The sequence below is a fragment of the Homo sapiens genome, chromosome 5 (genome assembly GCF_000001405.40).
Source record: "Homo sapiens chromosome 5, GRCh38.p14 Primary Assembly".
NCBI lineage: Eukaryota > Metazoa > Chordata > Mammalia > Primates > Hominidae > Homo > Homo sapiens.
In genome coordinates, this window is record NC_000005.10 from 125571919 (window position 1) to 125599129 (window position 27211).

Here is a 27211-nt window from a genome sequence, read left to right on the forward strand (position 1 = left end):
TCATCACTGGCCCTCAGAGAAATGCAAATCAAAACCACAATGAGATACCATCTCACATCAGTTAGAATGGTGATCATTAAAAAGTCAGGAAACAACAGGTGCTGGAGAGGACATGGAGAAATAGGAACACTTTTACACTGTTGGTGGGACTGTAAACTAGTTCAACCATTGTGGAAGTCAGTGTGGCAATTCCTCAGGGATCTAGAACTAGAAATACCATTTGACCCAGCCATGCCATTACTGGGTATATACCCAAAGGATTATAAATCATGCTGCTATAAAGACACACGCACCCATATGTTTATTGCAGCACTATTCACAATAGCAAAGACCTGGAACCAACCGAAATGTCCAACAATGATAGACTGGATTCAGCAAATGTGGCACATATACACTGTGGAATATTATGCAGCCATAAAAAATGATGAGGTCATGTCCTTTGTAGGGACATGGATGAAGCTGGAAACCATCATTCTCAGCAAACTATCGCAAGGACAAAAAACCAACCACCGCATGTTCTCACTCATAGGTGGGAATTGAACAATGAGAACACTTGGAAACAGGAAGGGGAACATCACACCCCAGGGCCTGTTGTGGTGTGGGGGTAGGGGGGAGGGATAGCATTAGGAGATATACCTAATGTAAATGATGAGTTAATGCGTGCAGCACACAAACATGGCACATGTATACATATGTAACAAACCTGCACATTGTGCACATGTACCCTAAAACTTAAAGTATAATAAAAATAAAAGAATCCTAGCATTCATATCAATAAATGAAGAGATATCCTTTTGTATATCTGCATTTGGGAAAGATAAAGTTTCTCTAGAATTCTACAGAATACTAAAATTCTATACCCAAGATAGTGCCTGGGGACCTAGAGGGTGCTCAGTAGATATTACTGAATAAGGATTAAAACAAGGAGAAGCCCTGGGTTTTGGAGGCAGTCAACCTGGCATGGGAATCCTAGCCTGATACATGTTATCCATGTGACCTTAAATATTCTGTTTCTTGTTAGGCTATTTTCCCAGGACAATGATGCCTTCTTGCTCTATATTTACATAAATAAGTGACCTAGTGACCTTTCACTGGACAAGGAACATTTGTCTTATGGTGATTTTCTTTCTTTGCCATCACCTAGAATCAGGCAGCAATCTGGCTGGCTAAAAAGGGAAAGCACACATAGAGAGACACACGTATAAAAATTTTATCTCTGGCAGGCTCCACTGTGTTTGGCACCCAGTCATGCTTCCATTCTTGTTTGGCCATATAGGCTATGTAGGTGTTTCTATTTGTGGGTGTATGTTACACTGAAAACCCCTAACCATTCCGATCATGCTGCTCTCCTCATCTCTGTACCCAAGCAGCAGAATCCTAGAAGTGAGGAACTGCTTTTCCACATCCAAGCCCCAGGGTTCTCTGAGTAACTGTCAAATCTGCTTCTCCCAGCACTCAACCACCCTCTGCTCTCGCCCCTGCCCCTCTGTCACTTATCTTCTGTGTTAGTTAAGTCCACAGCTCTCACCCCCACAAGATTGAATGTAAGGGTCACTACCTATTCATCGACAAATCGCCTAGAATAAAGTGCATAGATGTAGCAGCACATCTGTGTCCTAAAAAGCCCAGTTCAGTGATTCACAATCCCTGCCCCACACTCCTACAGCAAGAGAATAATCTCTCTAGACATGCCACTCTTGCATTTGCACGCAAATGCGTAATTGCTTCCTATTGCCTCGCCTATCGAATTTATATTCTTCAACCTGATTATCCAGATATTCTGCCAAGACCCTTGACTCTCTTTTCTCATAGCTGAACTCACTGGTATTGCTCACTTCTCTCACAGATAATGTATAAGCAACAAAATCTAAGCCCATTCCCAGTTCTTCATCCAGAACATGCCTCTTTCTCCGGGCCATAGACATTTTATTCCCTCTCTCCTTTTCTCTGCCAGCATACTCTGCAGATCCTTTCAAACGCTCCTGCATAAAGGAGAAACCACTCACCTAGCTGCTCATTCTTTACTCACAAAGGCCTCAGGCCTCAAGCTCATCCTTTAACTTTTATTTCTCTTTTCAGCAAAGAGTGTGTTGGTACATTCACCTTCCCTCCCTAGGTTGACCAGTTTTTCTAACTGGACCCCAGACCTTTGATGGTTGTTGCTTTTTCAGCTTGCCAGCTGCACCTAGTACAGAGTTATTCATCAGGAATATGCCCAGGAAGTGTTATTGACTGATACGCAGCAATGAATTTTTTTTTTTTTTTATGATAGAGACTTCCCCCAAAAGGGGAATGATTTCCTTAGCTGCAAGTTGTGGTTGTGGTTGTTGTTGTTAACCATGCAGCACAATAATATATTCCTAAGTTTGTTTTCTTCAATGTTTTACACTACTAAGATTAATAAAAGAAATGCTTTTAGGCTGTTGTTTCAATTACAGTATACTAGAAAGTGCTAGAGGAAAACAGAAACAAAAATCTATGGCTATGGGGCACTTCTTGAAATAAAAATGTCTTGCCCTCTCTTTATTCTGGCAAAATAGGAAAAGAAAAATACTCTGTGCTGGCAAGGGGCAAGTTCAGGCATTTAATGGATCTTTTTGTCAGCTGTCATTTGTTTCTACCAAGTGCTACATACCCTTTACCGTAGATGAATACTCCTTATGTCTACAGAAAGACCCAGGGTGGCTCGGGGTGCGTTGTAGGCATTTCAAAGTCATTCTTCCTTTACATCTCTGCCTGTGTTCAAGTGCCTATTTTCAATTTGCAGTTGTGCTGGGAAAACGTTTTGATTCTTGATTTAGAATGTGCACTCCCAGAAGGTTCCAAGAGAGTTTCAGGCAGAGAGATAAAGCTTGTCTCTTTATGCTGCTTTCTAGCGTGTGCTCTGTGGCAATAATACACACCCCACACTGTGCTTATATCCCTGGTTTTATGAAAGTCAGTCCAATGCCTATTTGGTGAATCTTTTGACATGCAAGTACTGTTCCCTGAGGAAGAAAGCTAGTTGCAGCACTTTCTCTCTCCTCCTCTCTTTGTTTTCCATGTTATACATAATTCTTAGGAAAACCGTAGTGTGAAATGCACCGGAGAAACTAAAATCGCAATGAAAAAGTCAGCTGTAAACGGTATATCTGACATTGCTCACTACAGTAAAAAGACCCCATTTTATGAACATAATAAGGCTCAGGTTCTATGCTTTGAGCTAGGGTGAAACAAACACATAGGCATCAACCAGCTGAGTCCCAAATTACCTAGGCCAACTGAGGACCCACAGACTTTTTTCCCAGGTGATATGATGGCAAATAAATCAAGTTCAAGAAAGCTGAGTGAAAGTTCAAATACATTATATGCTAAGGCTGTTAAGCCAAGAACATACAATCAGACTCTGTCTGTAGCCAGGGAGTTTGAGCTCACCTCAAAAACAGCCTTTCATCTAATGAAATGTTAAAAAGACTTCCAAAAATTTTACCACTGTTGCCAAAATCTATCTTTCATCGCTTGAGCAAATTGCTGTAAACTTGTTGGAGAGGATTTTCTATATTTATGCAGAATGTTGTCATCTACATGTTGGTATTTGCTAGATTTTATTTCATAACATTTTTTTCTCCAATCAAACTAGCTGGATTGAATTTCAAAATTGAGCTCTCTTTTTAGTGGTGGTGGAGAGGGGGGAGGTTGTAGAGCATCAAATCAAAATCTAATGAAGTTTCTAATGATCAAATAAATAATCACTTGACATTTATTGCCATGTTTGGCAATCTGCAGAAATGGAATAGAGTAGATATGCCTACAGCCCCATTTCCCATAGATTTACATTATGCTACCACACAGAATTAAGCTGACATAAGCTCTTTAAGACTCACTAAAGCAGCAGATTTTACACAACTTGTTTAGATTTTTTTTTTCCTTCTCCATGATCCCATATTCCCTGAATAAATCTTTCTATCCATTTTCCATTCCTTGTTCTTTTGAGAGGCCTGCTGGAGCTTCCCCTTGATGTCATTTCAGGCTATAACCCTGCAGTTTGCGTTTATCTTAGCTGTAAAATGCAACAGTAATTTATATGCTCCCTTACTCCTGCTTCCTCCGAGGCACTGGCTGCCAGCTGTCTACCCAGCAGTTTAAAGAAAGAGCTGTAATGAGCGAGAGTGCAGCAGGAGAGGGGCGGCGCCACATCACATCAGAGGCTTTTATTTCTGCTTCCTCAGTGAGCACTGGATCCACATAAATGGCATTTTCTGGCGCTGACTGGCTGCAGCATAAAGTCCTTCCTCCCCTGCACCTCCACCTTCCCGCTCTCACCTCACACCAGCCTTATGGGGACAGGCTTCATCATCTCTTCCTTTTATTTCTGACTTAAGGAGAACAGAGCAAAAAGATGAGACAAAGCCTGGGGCAGCTGTGATGCTGCAGTGTAGGGTGTGAGATCCTAGTGCAAACCTTGCCCCTCAGCACCAAGAACATGCTCTTGGAGCTGTGAGACAAAGCTTCCCAAGAGCTTGATGCACTCAACATCCTTAGATTTTTAGCTGGGCTATTGAGATGTTTTTTTTTTTAATGTAATTCAGTTGAGGTTTAGTCTCTTTAAAAATAATCCAATAGTAGGGTTATTTGCCTTGAGTTTTGTAAAAAATAAAAATAAAAAAAATAGGACAAAGCCATTTTAGTTTAGTTCTGCCTCCAGAATCTGTTCCCCTGGCACTCTCTTCCTCTCCCATATTCTGTTTTTGGGGGTACATAAAATATGCCCCTTTTCATGCACAGGAACCCACACAAGTTCAGGGAATAAAATTCAGCATAAAGCAGCCACAAAGGAGTTTCCTTTATGCTACTAAAATTAGACAGCTCTCTTTTGCCAGTCCACTGAAAACAATCCCAATTTAACAAAAGGAAAGGAAAAGATTTTAAAGCCTGTCTATATGTTTAATATTAAGACTGGCACTAGGTAGAAGATAGAGCACACACTGGCAAAGGATCGGCTCCTTTTCTGTGATATTCCTGAATGTGTTGACTATTAACATCTCCAAGGAAGACCTTGTCACTTTAGGATTCTTATCTCTCACATTCCCTTTAGCTTTGTGTAATCTTGATTTTTGTCCAAAGCTGGTGTTTCTTGGCAGAGACTGGCAAAGCAAAAGCTAGGAGCCGTGTTGAAGGAGGCTGAGCTTCAGATCAGTGGATCAATCTGAAGGAAGGGTGTGAGCAACAGTTAACTCTTGCAAGTACTGGTCCTTCCTTAATTCAGTCGCAGCAGAGAGGTTTTAATATTTTTCTTTCTTTGGTCAAGTTCATGGCCACAATTATATTTTCTACTGAGAAATGATTTACTAGTCTGACAAAGACTTCAAATATCTTTTTTGTGACTCTTATTATTTATTCTTCTATAGCTGAAAAAATATCAGAAAGGTTCTTATGTTTAGAAGATGTAAATTTCCCTGAGGTTTCACAGCAAGGATGGAAATAATAGCTTCTTTCTAACATAATAGCATTGTGATGTTTCATTATAACTATAATTTGGGGTAAATTTACAAAAAAAAAAAAAAAACCACGAGAAAGCTAAACGGAATGTACTGTCTTTATCTATTAATCCTTCCATACTTTCTGCAAAAGATATTTTGAAGTCTCTCCAGTCTTTCTCTTCATTTCTCTTCAAATGGCATTAGATTTATGTAGAAGGAAAATAGATCAGAAAGACTCATGTATTTTTGGTGTTTTCTAAATGCACAACACACCGTGATTTTACTATTGAAGAATTGCAATGCAAATGTACTTACTGGTTCTAAGGCTTTTGATGCATAAAGATCCTGGAAGCTACTTCTACTACAAGAGATTATCTAAGAAATAATAAAAATACAATGGAAAGCCAAAAAGGGTGTCCTCTACCCTACTTACATATTAATCTGGAAATAGAGCAGCTTTCCAGACCCAAAGCAACATGAAATACAATGGCTGGGAAAAATGCAAGAGAGGGAGAAGACACCTTTCCTACCACCTTTAGGAAATATTTTGAGCATAAATCATCATACAAAACAATCATATCTCCTACTTTTTTGGTGTTAGTGGGGGTTGAGCCAAGTAAGAGGATAACAGTGATGGGGAACCATTGCTAATTTAAACTAAGGAAGCAGCTGAATCATTGAAATGTATGTATATGATGACATATTGCAAACAGCATTATAAGAACTTTGTGTTTTAAACTTGGAAGTGATGTTTGATCCTTCTAAGCCAGCATTTGTCTTTTAATAATATTTAAGCATTGATGATATATGTGAAATAGATCATCTTTATACAGAATTAGGCTTTTCAGCATGTAAAAACTTTAATCCACTTTTTTATATACTAGACTTCTATATACTCTATATTAAAGTATCCCAATTAAACAAAACCAAAACAAACAAAATCTTCAACTCCTTGTAAAGGTGTCAATCAGCACAATTACTGCTTTCTAGCAGGAGGACTTTGTGATAAGAGCAGAAAGAAAGATGCTACAGGATAAAAGAATAGAAATGATCTAAAAAAGATGTCAGGAGTAGACTCCACTAGAAGGTAACTAGAAAAATGGATGAATTAACCATTTCAGGAACATGTCTTTTCTCTTGGTTTTGAGCAGGATTCCTAGAGAAAATGACTAGATAAATCAAAGTAAATGGCACCAACTCTAGAAAATAATACACAAAGAATAGTGGCATAGAGGTTGGGCAGCAATCAAGATGACACATTTATTTTTTCTGAATTTAATGTAATTTTACTAATAGTGGTTTGAGGCTACCCTAAAAAGAAACTCTTCAGCAATGTATGACATGGTATGAGTCAAGGCTTTGCCCACTCCCAATTGGAAATTTGCCCTGTAGATTAACAACTCACTTTTAGCACATTCTCACCATATGTAGCAGTGAATTATCCATTGCGATTGCTGGCATAGTAAATGCTCTCATACAGACCCAAGTTTCATATCACTGGGGCTATTATCACACCCCTCTCCCCATATCACTAAGTACTAATCTGTCCTGACAATGTGACATTCATCACAAGCTTTTTCTAAAAATTCTATCATTTTGGTTCACATTTTTCTAACCTATGTATGCTTGGAATATTTACACACACACACATATATACACACAGCCTAACTTTGAATGTGTTCTTCTGTAGAATGGAAATTTCATTTTGCACCTGAGTTAACTGAACAGCAATATGAACCAAATGATTTTCCTTCCCACAGAAATGTAACAGGTAATAAAGCTGTCTTTGTAGTAAACTGAAAACTCACTATGTAAAAAGCACTAATTTGGTGACTATGTTAAACACACATTTATATAAAATAGTTCCGGCCCTGGAGGAGCTTGTAACTAGTGTGGAGGCAAAAAAGCTTATAAAACTTGGAAAATAGCCAGCCAAAGTTAGTAATAAGTACCAAGTAAGTAGAGTAGAGAATGAGGGCTCTCAAACTTCAGAGGAGGAAATCGTTTTGGATTGTCGTGGCCTGGGAAGCTTTTGTGCAGCTGGTAAATTATGAATGTAAAGTAGGAGAATGGAAAGGCCTAGGTAAATAAGAATTATGGGAAAGGCACGCCAGGCAGGAGGCAATGGGATCAGTAAAGAGTAGAGAATGCTACAGATGAAAGCAGAGACATGAGCATGAGACAACCGTCTGTTTGTTGAAGTGAATGAATGGGCAAATATTTATTAAAATCCTACAGGTATAAAGCACCGTCCTATTTGCTGAAGATACAAAGGCAATGAGGTCTTTGACATTCCAGGATCCCTAACAACAGAAGCCAGCTCTATTGGGCAGCATGATGTCATAGAACAGGGAGAGCATGGCCATCAGACAGCCCCAGGTTCCATTCTGGCTCTGTTATCATAGCTATTATTACAGTTCCCTGTGTTTCATAAAACAATAAATACAGAACCACATACATCATAGCAGGGGTCCCCAATCCCCAGGAACCAGGTTCCATCCTGGCTCTGTTATTTATTATGGGACATTGTATAAGCATTTGGAATCTCAAATTCTTCACGTACAATACTGGCATAATGATGTCTTATTTATTTATTTATTTATTTATTTATTTATTTATTTATTGAGACAGGGCCTGGCTCTGTCACCCAGGCTGCAGTACAGTGTAGCAATCTCAGCTCACTGCAACCTCTGCCTCCTGTGCTCAAGCCACCCTCCCACCTCAGCCTCTCGAGTAGCTGGGACTACAGGTACACACCAACATACCTGGCTCTTTTTTGTATTTTTTATACAGACAGGATTTTGCCAAGTTGCTCAGGCAGAACTCCTGACCTCAAGTGATCCGCCTACCTTGGCCTCCCAAAGTGCTGAGATTACAGGCGTGAGCCATTCTGTCTGGCCAACAATGCCTCTTCTATAAGTGTGTTATTACAGGAAATAAATGAGAAAATGTGTGTAAATAGAAAGACTCAGTAACTGGCATATGGTGGCCATCATATAAATCATATCTATTATTACAGCTCACTGTGTTTCACAAAACAATAAATACAGAACCACATACATCATAGCAGGGGTCCCCAATCCCCAGGAACCAGGATACACAGCAGGAGGTCAGTGGTGGGCAAGCGAGTGAAGCTTCATCTGTATTTACAGGCACTTCCCATCGCTCGCATTACCGCCTGGGCTCCACCTCCTGTCAGAGCACTGGTGGCATTAGATTCTCACAGGAGCTCAAACACTACTGTAAACTGTGCATGAGAGGGATCTAGTTTGCAGGTTACTTATGAGAATCTAATGCCTGATGATCTGTCACTATCTCCCATCAACCCCAGATGGGACTATCTAGTTGCATGAAAACAAGCTCAGGGTTTCTACTGATTCTACATTATGGTGAGTTGTATAATTATTTCATTATATATGACAATGTAATAATAAAAGAAATAAGGTACATAATAAATATAATGTGCTGGAATCGTCCCAAAACCATCCCTCCACCCCATCCGTGGAAATATTGACTTCCATAAAACAGGTTACTGGTGCCAAAAAGGTTGAGGATCGCTGCATCATAGGGACCAAACCAATTTAACACAAATTCATTGAGGACCTATGATGTCCCAGGCATCATGCTAGTTCAATTACAGGCTGAGAACATGGAGTACATCTTGAAGGCACAGAACAAGGAGGCAGTCTAGAAGAGTAGTTATGAGCATGGGTTTTGAAAACTTTTGACCTGGACTCCAGCTCTTCAAATTTCTAGATTGCAACCACAGACAATTTAACCTTTCTCAACCTCATTTTCCTCATCTTTAAAACAAGAATAATAATAACTACTTCTTTGAGATTTTGAGAGAAGTCTATGATAAAATATATAAAGAGCACATAGAAAGTGCTCAAAAAATGTTATCTGAAATTGAGAATGTCCCATGAACTCATGTTCACTCTCTGCTATATATACCCTCCTTCTCACCTCTCTTTTATGGGTTTGGCAGACTGATTTCCAGCTAGCTTTCCTCATTGGAAGGAATAAGGTCTGGGGAGATAGAAAGAATCATGTTAATAGTAATAAAATACAACAAGAACAGCTAATGTTATTGAGAGCATATTGTGTGCCAGAAACTGTTCTGAGTGCCTGCCATGTATAAATTCATAGTAATAGGTAAAGTATTTCAGTAAAATATTTATTTGTACAGATTGTCATTCTAATGAATTTTATGTCATTGAAAAAAAGTTTTAACCCAAAATAATACTGGCACAGAAAAAATTTTGACTGTCTGCCAAAAGGGCAGGGCAAGGAAAGAAGAAGCAGAATTCATCTGTTTTATTGGGCTATTTTGTTTCTACTGAATCCAGTTGTACTGTGGTGAAAGCAAGATAGCCACACTTGTGAGAGGAAGAGGAACTGTGTGACAATGTCAGCCAGCAGTTTATAGTAACAAACCAAATGAATACATAAACTGATGGAGATACCCAGTGTTCCAGTTTTCACACCTGGTCAGTCTCTGCATTGTAATTAACAAAATGAGAAAGGGCATGTTTAAGCAACTAGACTGTGGCACCCTTGAATATTAGAAGTTAGACGTGGTGTTCAATGTTAACCTGTTTCATAAAGTTGTCAGAAATAAAAAAGCTTCATTCAGTAAGCTGCATGACTGCTGCTCAAAACTGCATGCATTTTTAATTGAGTTTTTTGTTTTTTCTTTTTGCAAAATGAAAATAAGAAACATACTAGAGATAATATTTTATTGCATCAGTAAGTCTTTGTTTTTTTAAGAGTTTTCTAGATTACCATAACAATTTTGCTTAGAAATACTGCATAATAGAGCTTTGGACATTTGAAACTTTTTTTCAAAACCTTATACATTTGGACTTACAATCCACACTGATCCTATAACTAACGTCCAAACTGCAGGACGTAATTTTCTTTCTCTTAAAATAAGACTTATAAACCATCTGAAATAGCTCTGGACCTCAAATAATATTTAACAGGCAATCATATAAGAATTAAAAGAAAATGAATAGGAAATATATCATTAGTAGTTCTTTTATAAGTATAGAGAGCTTTCAAAGTGAATGGCCAATTTGTTTGGCAAAATGACAAGGTTGGGTGCTGGCCCAATCCTATTTCACAAAAGCCTATTTTGCAATAATTGCGGGATTCTGACAGTAATCCTAATTCAACACTTACCTCATTCTAGGGTTTCTTTTGGAAAATATATTGAGTGAATGATCTAAGTCTTAGAAGCCCCAACACATTCTGTGTTTAATCAGTCACTCTCAGCCACAAAGAAATGTGGCCTCTGTCTTCAGCAGGGAATATTTTCTTGGCCAGAACTAGACCTCAGGGTCTAACTTAGAGATAAATCCATAAAAATATCTATATAGAATTTCCCTGTTAGAGGAAAAAAGTGAAGAAAAGTGAGGTTTAAGATTGTATTTATTTTCCTTATAATTTGCTTCTGTATTTTCCAGGTCCTACCTTGCTTTTCTCCTTTTTCTGTTTTCCCAAATTTTCATGTTCAACATGACCAGTCTTTTCATTTTCATTAGTTTCTGCTTCATCATATGCTCCTTACAGTGTTGTTTTCTCCTTTCTGTTTCTAGATTCTCAGATCTATTTTGGGACCTAATATATGTGTGTATGTGTACATGCATCTATGTGCATATCTACAATTTTGAAATTAAGGTAACTTCAAAAGGTAGAAGTTGGAGAAGGTAACCACAGACAGGGAGGTCATGGTCATGATGTCTAAGAGCCATTGTCTGTTGACGAGGAACCAGAGACTAAGAGGGCACTCTCAGCCTTCAGTCATCTGTGGGCTAGGTGCAGAGCCAGAACCTGATCCTGGCTCTCTTGACTCCAAGAACTTGTCTGCTATGCAATGCTGTAGTCTTTTGAAAAATGTCAGAAGAAGCATTAATAGAAATACCAAGATTAATTTCTTATGCTGTACTTCTTCCAACACCAATTCACTCATAGCATGAATGTGTAAGAATAAACGAGTAAGTGAAGGTTGAAGCTTAAAAGATAAACAAAGGAAAGGAAGCAAACACTTTAGAAGAGTCAAATTATGTTACCCGAGCCTCTTAGGCTTAAGGTTCAAGAAGTGAAGTCAGGCAACACAGAGTTACCACTCGGTTTAGAATTCCTCTGAATTCCTTTAATCCCTTAGGCCAGTTAAAAGGAAATGATCTGACTGTTCTGCATCTGCTAGTGATTGAAGGCAAATGGGAAGCAGTGCGCAAGTTCCCGTTCAAGAAATATATAGTGAACACGGCTATTGTGAAGGTAAACACTGCAAATCGCAGCCAACCCAATCTGACTAATAAACGCATAGACACCTCCAACATATGGGGAACTGATGCTTGAGCAGACACAGAAGGAGTTACCAAAATCGTGCCAAACAGACAAAATGAAAATAATTTATTACATAATGTGTGTGTCAGTTCCTAAGTTATCCTCAATATTCAGTCTATTATAAAGAAGAGAGGGTTATATTTACAATGAAGCTCTCCTGAGAGCTTCCCTACCCTTTCCTCTGCATTGGTTCTCTGAACATTCTTCCAAGGACATCGATGTAATGACGTAATAGAAGTCTGATCATCTAGGGAAACTTTATAGGCATTTAAACCAACATTACTGGCATGTAGCATTGGTAAGATTCCCATATGGCTTGTAATGGGCTCTAAGTAAAAATAAAATTTGTGTTTACCAAGGGGTGCTATCCATAACAAAAGGAGGTAGTTAGGCCAAACTATTTGCACTTACCCTACTGGATCAATCCATAAATTACCACAAGATGGGTATTTATCCCTTCTCTGCATGCTCATGTTAGTAACACTTTGTCCTGCCCACTGTGAACTAGAAAGTCAGGCCCCTAAAGAGGAGCACGATCATGTGGTTTAGGCTGAAGTGGTGTTAGTTTTGTTCGAGCTGTCATTTTCGGATCCAAGGGTTGAATGGGAATCTTCATTCTAAGCCAAATGTGTCCTAAGCCAGAAATTTCTTGGCTCCACTTAAACTTAACCTCAAACTTTGGTTTGCCAGAGGAGAAAAAGAGCCAGGAATGGAGAGGAACAAATAGAGGGAGAGAGAGAGAGACCTTTGAGAAAAACCATTTTAATCTAAAGAAAATAAAGACACAGATTGCACTTTTTGCAACCCCCACATGCTAGGTAAAAACAAGAGATTAACTTAACATTCATTTTTGTACCTTCTCATTCACATTTCTCTTTTCAAACCAGCCAGTATTTTGCCCTCCTAGTGTTCAAAAGCAGAGCAACTCAAATTTTTACTCTGACAATCTGTTGGTATTGTTGGTAATTTTTCATCTATAATTAACTTTGAAAAAGTTTTCTGTTTGGGAAAAAAATTAGCTCACCTTCAACTTTGATTCTAGCAACCTCCAAAATTGGCTCACTTTATACAATATCATGGCTAGATTATATTTTAGATTTCTAAATAAATATACCAAAATCACTTTTTTTTTGGAAAAATGACTGTATTCTAATGTAAAGCCTGACACAGTATTTGAATATTAACCATTCCAAAATAGAATAAATGAATAAAGTAGATCATCTTCAAAATGAATAAAGTAGATCAACCTTAAGGAGAACACGGAATTCTTAAAGCATTCTGAAATATTATACATTTTTTCTAAACAATTTGAATAATTGTGTCAAGTAAGTGAAGAAAGAGTAATAATAAAGGATTTGTTACATTCATGTTCATGTCACATTCAAGAGCCTGTGAAATTGTTTTGCACGGGACTTTAAAATCCCAGACTATTTCTTGCTGTAACTCAAAAGCAAACACCTACATATTCACACTCTGGTCTTTTCCAAATACAATCAGAGCAGCTTTGAAAACTCTCTGGAAAGCAAAATATCTTTGGAAGAAAAAAATCCTCAATATAATTCTCACTATAGGACTTTGATCACTTGAGATGTCTGGGTCTAACAATAATAGTATATTGTTACTTAAGAAATAGAAGTTCCACTTAGAAAAATCTGACATAGAAGTTTGTCTTGATTTTAAGAGAAAGCGTAACAGAACAATCCTCTTCCTTATAGTTCAGGATCTCCAATGTGTAAGCAGTGAAAAGAATCTACGCATCCAAGAAGTATCCAGTCGCTGTGACCAAGTCTTACTTTCCTGTGAGTTTTAGGTTTCTCTTGGGGCTTCTCACCTTGCTCACCCCTAGGAAGTTTGCTCTTCTTTTAAGGCTTTAATAAAAGCTAACCCTTTCTTTCACTTCCCTTAGCATGATAGATATTTCTTTCATTTCCCTTAGCCTGATAGATTATTTCCAGTGTAATATATCAAATATGAAGTGTTAAAAACATTAACTTAATAGGTAGGAACAATGAATTCATAGTAAGAAGCATAAGAACCATCTTCACTGAAAGGATTTGGTCACAAGGGCCAAAGAAGCCAGGAAAGGTGGTTCTCGGGCTTCATACTTGGGGAGGTGCTACTGATATGGACAGGAGGCAAGGAAATACTGGGTAGAAGAGGGCAGTTCCCTGGCAAAGGCCACACGCTCAAACCCTGGATACCTGCAGCCCTACATGAGAACAGGCATTCCTGTTTTTGCACCCCCAAAGTTGCCTTTTGGCCCACCATGCCCTCTATCCTGCACGCATATAAACCCCAAACCCCAAGCTCCAGAAGCAGACCAGCAGGTGAGGAGATGAGGAAAGCAAGCAGACGGACAGTGGAACAACGTGGCAGAGAAAGAGGGAAGAGGAGGGACATTCAGATGCCTAGAGGAGTTCGGCTGGGGCCAGAGAGGAGTCCGGCCGCTGGGCAGCCCGGCTCCAGAAGAAGATCACCTTCCCTTCCAGCTCCCCATCCATCTTGCTGAAAGCCATTTCCACCACTCAATAAAACCTCGCATACATCCTTCAAGTCCGTGTGTGACCCGATTTTTCCTGGATGCTGAAAGAGAGCTCGGGATACAGAAAGCTGTCCCCTGGTCCTTTACCCTTGTGAAAAAGCAGAAGGTCCATTGAGCTGGTTAACACTCCAGCCGTCTGCGGGTGGCCAAGCTGAAAGAGCTTTGTAGCTTCATAACACTGGGGTTGCCAGCACCCATCTCTAGACAGACACTAACGCAGGGCCAGAACCCAAAGCCCTAACCCCGGCCTCTACATCTGCCCATCTGCATGCTCCCCTTCTCGTAAGGGGTTTGAGCAGTGGGGCAACCAAACAGGCAAGCCACATCCCTGTTGCACGTCCTGCGAGAGGAATCAGGGAACTCTTCTGTTTCAGCACTTACAGGGAAAGTACTTCACCTAAAATAGCAGTTAGTTAAATGGGCTATGTGACAAATGTCAACTATAGTCCATGCTGTGGTTCTGAAAACATTAAAATATTCCATTTTTGAGTCTAAAATGCTGTGGTCTGAATAAACATCCACTTTGGGGAAGTGGCCTCCCCAAATTTCTACACTGAAATCCTAACCCCCAACATGATGATATTGAGATGTAGGGCCTTTGAGAGTTGATTAGGCCATGAGGGCATAGCCTTCATAAACAGGATTAATGCCCTTATAAAAGAGACTCTAGAGAGATGCCCCACGTAGGGACATAGCAAGCAGACACTCTCTTTGAGGAATGAGCCCTCACCAGAACCCAACCATACTGGCATGCTGATCTTGGACTTCCCATACTCTAGAATGATGAGAAATAAACTTCTGTTGTCTATAATCTACCCCATTTATGGTGCTTTATTACAGCAGCCCAAAGAGACAAAGACATTAAATACCCTGTATTAGTCCATTTTCAAACTCCTATAAAAAACTGGCCAAGAATGGGTAATTTATAAAGGAAAGAGGTTTAATTGACTCACAGTTCAGCATGGCTGGGGAAGCCTGAGGAAACTTACAATCATGGTGGAAGGCAAAGGGGAAGCAAGGCACCATCTTCACAAGGCAGCAGGAAGGAGAAGTACCAAGCAAAGGGAGAAGAGCCCCTGATAAAACCATCAGATCTCCTGAGAACTCACTCACTATCAGGAGAACAGCATGTGGGAAACCACTCCCATGATTCAATTACCTCCACCTGGTCTCTCCCTTGTCACGTGCAGTTTATAGGGATTATGGGAATTACAATTCAGGATGAGATTTGGGTGAGGACACAAAGCCTAACCATATCACACTCCAACAAAAACAAAGTGCTACTGCTTAACACAAATGTGCTTGTCCTCCACTCCAGAGGAATAATCAAAATTCTCATCATTTAATGTATTTAGCATTCTTTCCAATAGACTCTAACCTGGGAGCTAAATTTTCATATAAATCATCTCCAAGATATCCTAAATAAGACACTGAGAGCAACAACAAAAAAAGAAAGGGTTGCAACATCACAGCAGTAAAGAAAACACTGACTGATTCTACAGTTTTTGTTTCTGTAATTGTTATGAGGTCATAGATGGTAATAAAAACTTCCTTCTTCCACTATCCTTTCTACACTATGTTTGCTTTCCTTCAGAATGATCTCAGCAGATTCAGGTTCTTTGCCTGGTGAGGTTGCTCAATACTTCATTAATAAGGAATCTGTCTCTGTGAATATTCTATACGCTTCTATAGAGTAAGCAATTCCTGCACCAATACCATACTCCTCTCTGCTACCATTACATAACAGCAATTCTATTTCTTTTGATAACTAAGAAATAATCCCAGTAAGCAGAGAGAAACTCTTTTTGCCGATTTATTCAGTGACATGAAGTAACTATAATGACCTTAGCTTCTAATTCAACAGGACTATTGTTATATCCTCTGGTGGAAACATTGAGACATTGGGTCCTAACACCTCTAAACCAGTAGAGTCTAGGGAAAAGGAAATGTGGTGCAAAAATTTGGGAAGCAAATCATTAACTGCAAGAATGAAGAAGCCACTCTCACTTCTGTCCCATTGTTGCCCGGATTTATGTTTTCTGGTCATGGGAGAAAAGTCACAAAATATTGGCCATTGGCTTGTTCTAGAACAAATTCTGTAAAGTGGATGCCAATCTCATAAGGTCTTCTAGTAGTTGCAAAAATTAAGGCATCGGTAGACATTTTACCTTTCCATGAGTCCAAATATTGTATAGATTGTGATAAGTAAAACATTTAATAATAAATTAATTTTAAAAATCCCAGAGGTGAGGTTATTGGCAGAAACATGGCAGACAAGGAAAGGGAATCTAAATACAGATATTTGTCTATTCCAGAAGAAGAATAATTAAGTATACTAAAATGATCACCATATGGTTTCCTGACTCATGTAAAGTATGGGACCATATCAGGTCTCTGGATTGGTCACAGTGCTAACAAACTGGTCCCCTGTGATTGACAGTCGATTAGCCTTGGCACAGTAAGTGGACATTGGCAAGCCAATGAAAAATTTTACTCCTTTATACTGTGACCATGTTGTTCATTATCCCTTTGAAAAAGCATTAAGGCGGCTTCCTTGCCAGAGAAGGCGGCACACTGACATCCATGTAGTAGATCATGTTGTCTACCTGAGAAAAGAAAATCTCCTTTACAGTGGAGCCTTGCCATGTTCATTCATACATGGAAAACACACATTTTTAACTTCTGAGAAGTTCAACAAGATAACTCTTACTCAACCCTCTTTGCTTCTAAACAAAACCCAAACTCCCACTCTGCTGGAAATCTTACTCTTTCCGCAATTACACAATTAACCGCTGTTGCTTCTGGTCTGAAGCAGACATTCTTTTGCCAAACAAAGTGAACAATGAGATGCACCATTTTGAATTATGACCACCTGGAGGATTAATCTTTCCAGTGTTCTTCAGCCCTCAACAGCTACAAAGGTCACAACACTGCACTTCTGGCTGATGTCAGCATGTAGCATAACATTTTGTAAAATCCGGGTTTAAATGGTGTATTAGTCCATTTTCATATGGCTATGAAGAAATACTTGAGACTGGGTAATTTATAAAGAAAAAGAGGTTTAGTGGACTCATAGTTCCACATGGTGGGGGAGGCCTTATAATCTTGGCAGAAGGTGAAGGTGGAGCAAAGGGACATCTTATATGGTGGCAGGCAAGACAGGATGTGCAGGGGAACTGCCCTTTATAAAACCATCGAATCTCATGAGACCATCACAAGAACAGCATGAGAAAAAGCCATCCCCATGATTCAATTACCTCCACCTCCACCAGGTCCCTCCCATGACACATGGGGATTGTGGGAGCTACAATTCAAGATGAGATTTGGGTGGGGACACAGCCAAACCACATCAAGTGGCATACCCTTCAGGCCATGGAAACTATCCATGAAGCCATGGGTGTTGACTGGAGCAGGGATGGCTTTATGACAGAGGTGTTCCCAGTGGAAGGCTCACACTGTTTATTCATGCTTCCAAACCATGTTTTATATATATAGATAGATAGATAGATAGATAGATAGATAGATAGATAGATAGATAGATAGATATAGATAGATAGATAGATAGATATACATACACACACATTATAGGTGATATACCACCTATAATGAATGATAAGATGTTGCCAGTCTTCTAACTTAGAGTTTCCTGGCAGGTTTAAAATGAACATCTCAGGTTACATGGTCAAATGTTGTTTCATGATCAGGCATTCAGTTGATGTGTGTCCAGGGCAAAACTAAGAGCTGTTTCTCAAAAGGAAAAGAGTTTTTAGGTAAAGGATCATGGCTTTGCTCTAAAATCCTAGGGTCTTCCTTGTAATTCTCTGATTGTGTCTTACCACCAGTTTTGACAGCTTCCTAATCCACTAGAAACACTCCCAGCAATTGAGTCCACTGGTTCATAAATGACAGTGCTCTCATTTTGTTTGCCTTGCAGGCAGGACCAGCAGGAGGCCTTTCTTAAACTCTATTCTCCTATCAAGTATAAGCTGTTCCCAAACATCAAAGAGGTCTACCAAGCATTCTTTGGTTTGTTTGCTTGAAAGGTAGGGGGTATAAGATACAGCAATGTAGTTTTCACTTTAAAGGATCTATTTTGACATACCATAGATTAATAGAGTCCAGAAATATCACCGAGTTATCAGAACCCTGTATTTTAAAGTAATTTCTTTTCTACTCTCTGACATTCATGTTATCTTTTGAGGCTTCTAGCATACTCACTACTCTCTCTCTGTTCTGTAAACATATCAGTATAGCTGTTGCAGCCTTGATGCAAGTTGATGAAGGTAAATAGTCTGTCAGGTAAAAGCAAACAGCTTCTAGTGCTCTTTGTTTATTGGCATAAAGAGGGGAAAAACATTTCTCAGCTCAGCAGCAGCATAACAGTTACTAGGGCCTGTACTAATTTGCCCACACATGTAATAACAGCTTCAATGAAGACATCACATAATGAAGCCCATGATAATCTCTGTCATTGTCCCAGACCCATGTGTCTTCTGCATAGATCAACCAAGTGAGCTAAGTGGGCTTGCGGTGGAAATCTTCACCCATTTATCTCTCAAGCAAATCACTTCCAACTCTCTATCCAGGACACTGATGCCATAGTCTCTCTACTTTTCAAAAACTTCAAACTAATAAAAGTCATGTTCCTTTTTTCCTCATCTGACCTCCTAAGCATTACTTGTCATACCCTTTTTTAAAAATTCCTCATCGGACCTCCTAAGCATTACTTGTCATACACATTTTTTAAATTTGCTGATATTCAGAAGAGAAATCTTACAAGCATTTTGATGTGCAAGCTGTCTCCTCCCAAGTTTGCAATTGGCCTCCTAGAGCATTCTGTGTGATCTGACTTTTGATATAGGTCTGGAGGCCACAAAGACTAGTGGAGGTGGGGCTTCCTCCTCAAAAGGTAATGACCCCAGGTAAAGTCAAATGAGGGGCTTCAAGCATAAAAGGCACAGTCTGAGCAAGGATGGGAGGGGTTGGAGGTATGGAGTAGTTGCTGCTCCTGACAAGGGGTCATCAGTGCAGTTTAGGGACTTATGACATTTTGAGTTACTCTCTTCACATGCTTTCATTCCATTTTTTCAGTTATGCCATATTCCCATTATTCAATCACAAGTAGCATTTTAGAAAGAAGAAGGGAAGAGCCAATTTATCACATTTTTTATTTCTATTATTAATGCAAGGGGTAACAAAAGTACAGTAAATATTGTCGGTGATGGAAAACTCAACGCTACTGAGTGGAAAATAACTACTCATTAGATAAGTTTTCCAAAAACATATATGTGGTGAAGAAAGCTTTTCTTTATTATTCTATTGTATTTACACAGCAAGTTTATAATTATATGTTACATTCACCAAATGGAGGTCAAATGGTCCTGCTGTCTATTCTCCCCTTGAATAATAACTTAATATGAAAACCCAAACCGTAAGAACTATTTTATAATGGTGGAAGAATAGAGAGTATAGATTCACTGGAAAATCAGGTTTAAAGATAAAATTTCAAATTAAATAACCATATTAAAATGACAGTAAGCGACTCCAGGGCATGCTTTGCTGGGCTATTAATATATGCCTTGAGCAGCTGAAGACACCCAAGGCGTTCATTAATAGACACTAAAACACACCCTGTCATGCTTTAATGCTAAATTAATTAAGCAATAACGTGCCCCGTATGAAGGTCTTTCCTGGTCCAGCAATTACTGAATGGAAGAAATAAAGGTATTGTCAGACACTGCTTGACCAAACAACTATTAGTTTGCATAAATGAACATAAATATGTTTTTATAAAGTACTATTGGTTTTTGTTTTGTTTTCATTTTGTTTTTTCTTGACCCAAAGGTAAGATAAAGTTAGGACAAAGAAGATTAATTTTTAATACTTTTAGGCCATACTTGTTTAAGGCATTCCATTTCAAGCTTATAAATATAAATGTATGCCTGATGAATTTGGTTTCACATATTTTTTATTTGAATATTAGTCTGATCACTGAGCCATAAAAGTAGGCACTCAACAAAAGCAGATTCAAAATACACATGTACTTTTTAAAGGAAGCAAGTGACTTTAATGTCACTTAGTGATGGTCAACTGACTTTCTCCATTGTACTTACAAATTCTCTCCATTAATTCTTGTTTTTATCAAATTTCTTTACTGCTGAATTTTTCTAAACTTAACTTCAGATGAGAAAAAGCTCTTAAAATATTTTAAATAATAATTGCCTTATAAATATCGATGCCACTCTTCCCAGGAAAAGAAGATAAGAAAATTACATTTTAGAAAATATATTCAGCATATGATACAGAATATATAATTCAGCTTTCTCCCCAATTTCAAACCAGGACTTTACATACTCACTTTAATAACAAAGTATTAACAAAGTTTACTTTGTTAAAGTAAATATTTTTAAACAAGATATATAAGTCGGAAACCTACAGAATAGATTATTTTATATTAGATGTTAAAATTTAAAAAACTTCATGACAAAAAACACTATGAACCAAGTTTAAAGACAAATCACACACTAGAAAATGTTATGTGCAATTCAACTGACATAGAGCTAGTATTCATAATACACAAACAATTTCTATAAATCAATATAAAGAATCCAATAGAAAAATGGAAATTATATGGAGAGGTAATTTATAGAAGAAGAAACCTGGATATGCCAATAACCATACAAAGAGTTGCTCACGCTCACTGGTTCTCACTACAAATTTAAATAAGGAAATACCATTTCATATTTACCCCACTGGCAAAACTGAAAGTGTCTGACTGCTGATGGGACTGTACAGCTGCCGCAGAGAGAAATTTGACAATTCCTATTGAATTAAATAAACATGTATAAACCACAGTACTCAGCAATTCCACTTCTAGATATATTCAATGTGGAAAATCCAACACAAGTCCACAATGAATCTTGTGTAAGGAGGATAATTTTAGTACATATTCGAAGTGGAAAATTGGAATGAACACAATTATTTATTAACGAAGGAAAGAATGAATAAACTACCAATGATTAATCAAGAGGAATATATTAAAGTAATTAAAATGTGTCAATATGAAAAAGTCCAAACTATAATACTAAATGAGTATTTCATCAAAGATTATGTACCAGGTGACAGTACATATAAAAATGGTAACTATAAATACTATATATTTTTATGGCTACCTATGTAGTGAAAGTATAGAATCCTTTTAAGATATTTTTTAAAAACTCTAAATTTAGGACAATAGTTGCTACTGGGGAGAAAAGAGCTTGAAATGGGAATGTAGAAATATACCAGAGACTTTACCATTTTATGATGCAAAAATGTCAAAATGATAACATGTCTTAAATTTGCAGGAGAGTACATAAGAATTTGCTAAATAGTTTGGGGTTAAGTAATTCAGAAATGAAAATTAAAAATTAATAGAGGTACTTAGAGTTTAAAGTAATAAATGCTGTATCAGATATCTTCAAAAGCGTTTATAAGAAAACATTTTATGATGTATTTTACATTATAGATATTTTAAATTTAATGAGGGAAAGTGCTGTTCTCTTGGATGACTAAGTAAGCAGGAATTTTGTGCAGTTATGATTAGAACCACTGGACCCAGCAAGAAAAGTATGCTTGATCAACAGATAATTGGGAGAAAGGCTCTGGATCCCATTTATCAATTCATTTAGCAATTACAAATTGAGCGTCTGCCATGTTCTTAGCAACAATCCAGGTGCTAAATATCTAAACAGACAAAAGTTCTTGCCATCATGAAACTCACATATGCATAGGTAGAGAAAGAAAACTGGCATAATAGATAAGCAAAATTTGAAGACAATGTGTGCATACAGAAGGAGGGCGAGTAGAACATGGCTCCAAGGGTAGCAATATGAGGGAGCGCGGGTGGAAGCATGTTGTGGTATTAAAGAGAGGGTGGCCAGGATAGTCTCATTGAGAAGCTGACTTCTTGGCAAAGACTTAACAAAGAGTTGAGGGGACAATCTATATAGGTATATGGAGGACCAATTAGGCAAAAAAATCAAGGCAAAGGCCCTGAGGCAGGAATATACATGATTTATTCAACAAAAAGCAGGAAGACAAATGTGGCTGAAGCAAAGAGAAATAGAGGAAGTAGATGGTATCAGAGAGGAAACTGGCCCAGAAAACACCACAGAGAAAGAGAAGAAATGTTGAAAGATATTTGTTTCCTTTGACATTTTCATCTGGGAAGGTGTATGCCCTTCTACCCATCTCAACACTCTTTCTAGGGTCTCTCAGTTCACACTTTGTTCTTTCTTTGATGGAGGTAGCAAAATAGGAGTGATGAAGAGGATGCTGTCAGACTCTAGAGAAGGAAAAGACACGACAAAAGATGACCATTGCCTTGGCTTGTACTTTTCTCTGCTTGCCTCTTCACTTTTAACTTCACAACCCTAGAAAACTGTTTCTCTTAACTTCACAGTTATAAATGTTTGGTAAAATTGGGCTGGATACATACAATTTCTGTTTACAGGTGTCTTTTCAAGCACATGTCACTTAAAGTGTTCATAAAAAGGAAACATTGGAATTTGAGTATTGGGAAAAATAATTGCTGCATCCTTTGATGAAACTAATTGGTTAGGGGACCTTCAGAGAAGTTTTTTTTTTTTTTTTTTTTTTTTTTTGGAAAATAAACAGCAATAAAATTTTATCCTATCTGATTCTCATTCTTTTCTACATAGATGTTAAGTTCCTTTTAGTTTCTGAAAAGGAAGATTGTAGTCCTGTCTGATGTGACTATTACATTGGTGCACAAGCTTTAACCTTCCAATTTAAACTTTAGTTATAACTACTTTCTACAGCATAGAAATGTCGAGTGCTGGGTTTTTGTTCACTATTGTAGAATGCTCATTGAAGAGGCACTTGGGTACATTTTGTTCAAAGTCACTGGGACTTCCATCAGTGCAAGATTTCGGCAGTGTCTACAAAATGAACATTTGGTCTGATGTAGCGTGCTGTGACCCACAGCTGCAACAACCAGCTGCGTCTGCTCAAACTTCAGCCATCAGCCAGCTCAGTCGTGTAACGGAATCTTAGTCACAGAATGCCTCCATAACAATGGCTTTCACAAGGTCATTTTAGAAAAAGAAACTATGCTTAGTATGAACAGTTGCAAAAATACAAGACTTCAAGGGACTTGAGTATAACAAAAATGAGATACAACTGGTGTTTTACATGGACTAAATGCAGAAAAAGCATGAAAAAAAAAAACCTTACTTTGCAGTTTAATCCAATACTATTTTTAATGCATAAATTGTAGACTAGCAAATGGAATCACTACTGACTCAAGGAACAAAGATTAGGAATATACAAAATACAGATATCCATACAAACTTGAATGGTTGAGATCTCAAAATTTCACAAGGTGGATTAGATTTGCCACCTAAGGAAACTTCTAAGGATATCAGAAACTAACACAAGATTTGGAAATATGTTGGAAGAGAAGGTTTAATTCACATGAGAAAATATGATTATAGTGTCACTAAACATTAAACATATATTATCATCTTTGTACTAATAGCATAAAGTATAGAATAACTGTGTTAAAAATTTGGAAAATGTCCCTGTGACTAATGAGTAATTCTAAAAAAGAACTGGATAGTGCAAATCATTCAACATCCAAGTAAAAAAGTACTTTGATTCTAAATTACTGGACTTTGTTTTTATAAAAAATATTACAGAAGTAGAGATATAATTTCTCACTGCAGTATCACACCAGACCACTCTGGATATAAATAGTCTGTTGGGAACTGACCAAAGCCACTTTGTTCATTTCCTTTTATCATGTTCTTTATGGCAGATAGCATATCCTTTCACAGAAAGAGATAGGTAAGTGCCGTAGGCCTTCCCCGCAGTTATTTTGATGTGAGGTATAGAGATACAAGGAAAACAAAAGTCAGACCAAATCTGGTATTCATAAAAACACATGGTTGGGTGCAATGGCTCACACGTATAGTCATAAGACCTTGGGAGGCCAAGGCTGGCCAATTGCTTGAGCCCAGTAGTTCAAGACCAGCCTGGGCAACAAGTCCCGCCCTTCCAGTTCAAACCGATGTAAATCTTACGTGTATTGGTTGATGTATTATGTCTCCCTAAAATGTATAAAAGCAAGCTGTACCGCAATCACCTTGGGCACATGTCCTCAGGACCTCCTGAGGCTATGTCACAGGCACTTCCTTAACCTTGGTGAAATAAACTTTCTAAATTGATTCAGACTTGTCTCCGATACTCTTTGGTTTACACCCATCTCACCAATATTTTATAATAATTGCATTTTAACAATTATTTCCTGTTATTCCAGGTTTGTATTATATATTTGACAGCTTGGTTAGTTGACAAATATTCTATAAAGTTTTCTTATATTTCATGGTGAGGTATGAATTTTAATAGCATTGTTTGGCAATCTTTGTGGCTATTTAATGTTTGTATTTAATTTCACTTTATGTGAAATTAGTATTACCGGTTGTATAGTTTTCTCTGTAAGAGAATTTTGAACAATACTACTTAAAAATAGTGTCTTTTTGTTAAGTATATTGCAGTTAATATTAAAGTCTTTTTTCTTAACTCAATCTGAAATTCTTACTTATAAGCAGGGTCTATTAGCTGATATATTTAGTCTTAATGCTTCATCAAGGACTCAGCATGGCATCTTCTTTAAGGGCACAGGCTTTTACTTGAGATAGATCTGGTTTCAAGCCCAAGCCCTACTGCATGCTAGCTCTGTGTAAATATTGAGCAAATTTGTTAATCTCTCTGAGCCTCAGCTTCTCACCCCCTCCCAATAACACCCACATTTAAATGAGAAAATAAAGTTTTTTTACACTTTAAATTTCTGGTGGTTCTCTCCTTCTTTGCGTCCCACCCTTCCTTTCTTTCTTTACTTCCTTCTTTCCTTTTTTATTCATTCTTTCTATATGTACTATGCTTGCTTTGCCTGTTTTATAAAAAGATTTAAAAATCACATTTGTGGGAAGTCTAACTTATTTTTTTTAAAGGAAAGATAAGCTAGAAAATTTCCATTTGTTTATGGAAAAATCAGAAAACAAAAACATCAACATTCTCAATATTTAGTTTTAGAAATGTTTATCTATGAGTCATTTCAGGCAGGGATAAAAGGACTGAATTCACCACAGCCTGGACCTCACTTACAGCTGGTAGCATTTGGTGTCAGCTGTTATAAGGATGACCAAGTTACTTCCAGGAATATTCTCCCTCCAGAATGCAAAGAGGCTCACCAAATAATGTGCTTCCTTCTTTGTGGTAGGAGATGAATAATGTAATAATTTGTCTCTTACTTTGGAGAGGACATCTCAACACGCCCCTGACCAACGGAACTCCCACATTTTTTACTGATGTGGTAGGCCCATGAGTCTTTATAACATTTCATTCACATTCTCTCAGCTCTCAAGCTAAAAAGGCTAGGTTCTTCAGTATGTTAGCCAATTACAATTTAGCTGGCCAGGTTATCCTAATATCATTGATGTAGTTAACCAGTGTATTTTGCAGGACATCCAGATGGTCCTGATCACTTTGGATTATATTATGGCAGAAGGCAGGGGAGTTTTCATAGCTCTGGAGTAAATGCATAATTGTACATTGTTGCCCCTTTTATGTGAATACACATTATAATCTCACTTTCTGATTAAAGTAGATAAAAGTATTCACCAAAGTAATATTTTAAACCATAGACCTGAGGTTATGTTAAGTGGCGCTGGAAAAAAAAACACATCTGGAAAAGCAATTGCAATTAAGGCTGCTACTTAACTGGGTTTGTGTTGGCCTCCTGCATCCTTCAGTATCCAATATGTTTCTTTAGTGGCCAAACCATTAACTTAAATGGAAACAAAATGGAGGCCACCACTCCAAATCTTTAGATCTATGCTATCCAATAAGATAACCACTCAGTACACCCAGTAGCTATTTTGATTTACATTTAAATAAATAACATATAAAAATTATTCAGTCATACTAGCCATATTTTTAGTGTTCAATAACTATATTCATTATTTTAGAATGTTGTTGGACTTTAGATCCTTAATGATAGCACACTATCGTCAGCCATTCCCTTACTCTGGAATGCAATATTGTTTATTTTTTATGTTTTAACTTTTTAAGAGATGGGATCTTGCTCTGTCACCTAGGCTGGAGTATATTGAAGCAATCATAGTTTGCTGCAGCCTCAAACTCCTGGCCTGAAGTCATCGTCTTGCCTTGGCCTCCCAAAGTGTTGGAATTATAGGTGTGAGCCACTGCGCTCAGCCCCATAATATTGTTTTAGATTTATTATTTTGACTGGGGGAAGAGAATGCAGTCTTAGAGGCTTCTATTTGCACTTTCCCAGTATGAAAGTTCATGTACTGAAGGCCAAGGATCCAATATGGGGGATGAACCAGTTATGAAGTATGTCAATCTCAACTGAATATTCAAAAATTAGGAATATGACCAATGGATGGGCCAGCCAACCCAGTGGATCCACTATCATCCAGATGTTGGTCAAGACTTTTTTTTATTGCTTGGCTCCCATATGTCTCCATTCTGCTGGAGAGCCATGATGACACTTTGCTTCATAAGGTTTCAGTGTTAACTTGGCTTCTATGCCCAACACTTGTAGAAACTTTTGGCTATGTCCCTTCTCAGTGTACAGTTACCTGAGTAAATGAATGCAGGTCTCACTATGAAAAGACTGAAGGGATCACTACAGTGTACACTGTAGTGTACACTGTATCGTGGGGTCCTTTCTCAGATGCTATGTCTGAAAATCAGCTTGATTCAGAAACCTGACAATGGATTATTATTAGGACAAGAGTTCCTAACCTCTGGGTCATCCACTCTTGCT

At 38.0% G+C, this 27211-nt stretch overlaps 2 long non-coding RNA genes across 2 annotated transcripts in view, besides 1 other annotated feature; one reads left to right on the plus strand and one right to left on the minus strand.

Moving 5' to 3' along the window:
- LOC124901056 (uncharacterized) overlaps positions 1-27211 on the minus strand; it is an 891204-nt gene that overhangs the window by 92824 nt on the left and 771169 nt on the right. The gene's annotated exons all lie outside the window — the stretch shown is intronic.
- LINC02240 (long intergenic non-protein coding RNA 2240) overlaps positions 1-27211 on the plus strand; it is a 108967-nt gene that overhangs the window by 78658 nt on the left and 3098 nt on the right. The window lies entirely within an intron of this gene.
- Positions 4838-5132: a silencer, noted in NCBI's record as "tiled region #7820; HepG2 Repressive non-DNase unmatched - State 24:Quies". NCBI's record gives its function as "represses a minimal TATA promoter and a strong SV40 promoter by Sharpr-MPRA in HepG2 cells {active_cell/tissue: HepG2}" and the evidence as "EXISTENCE:reporter gene assay evidence [ECO:0000049][PMID:27701403]".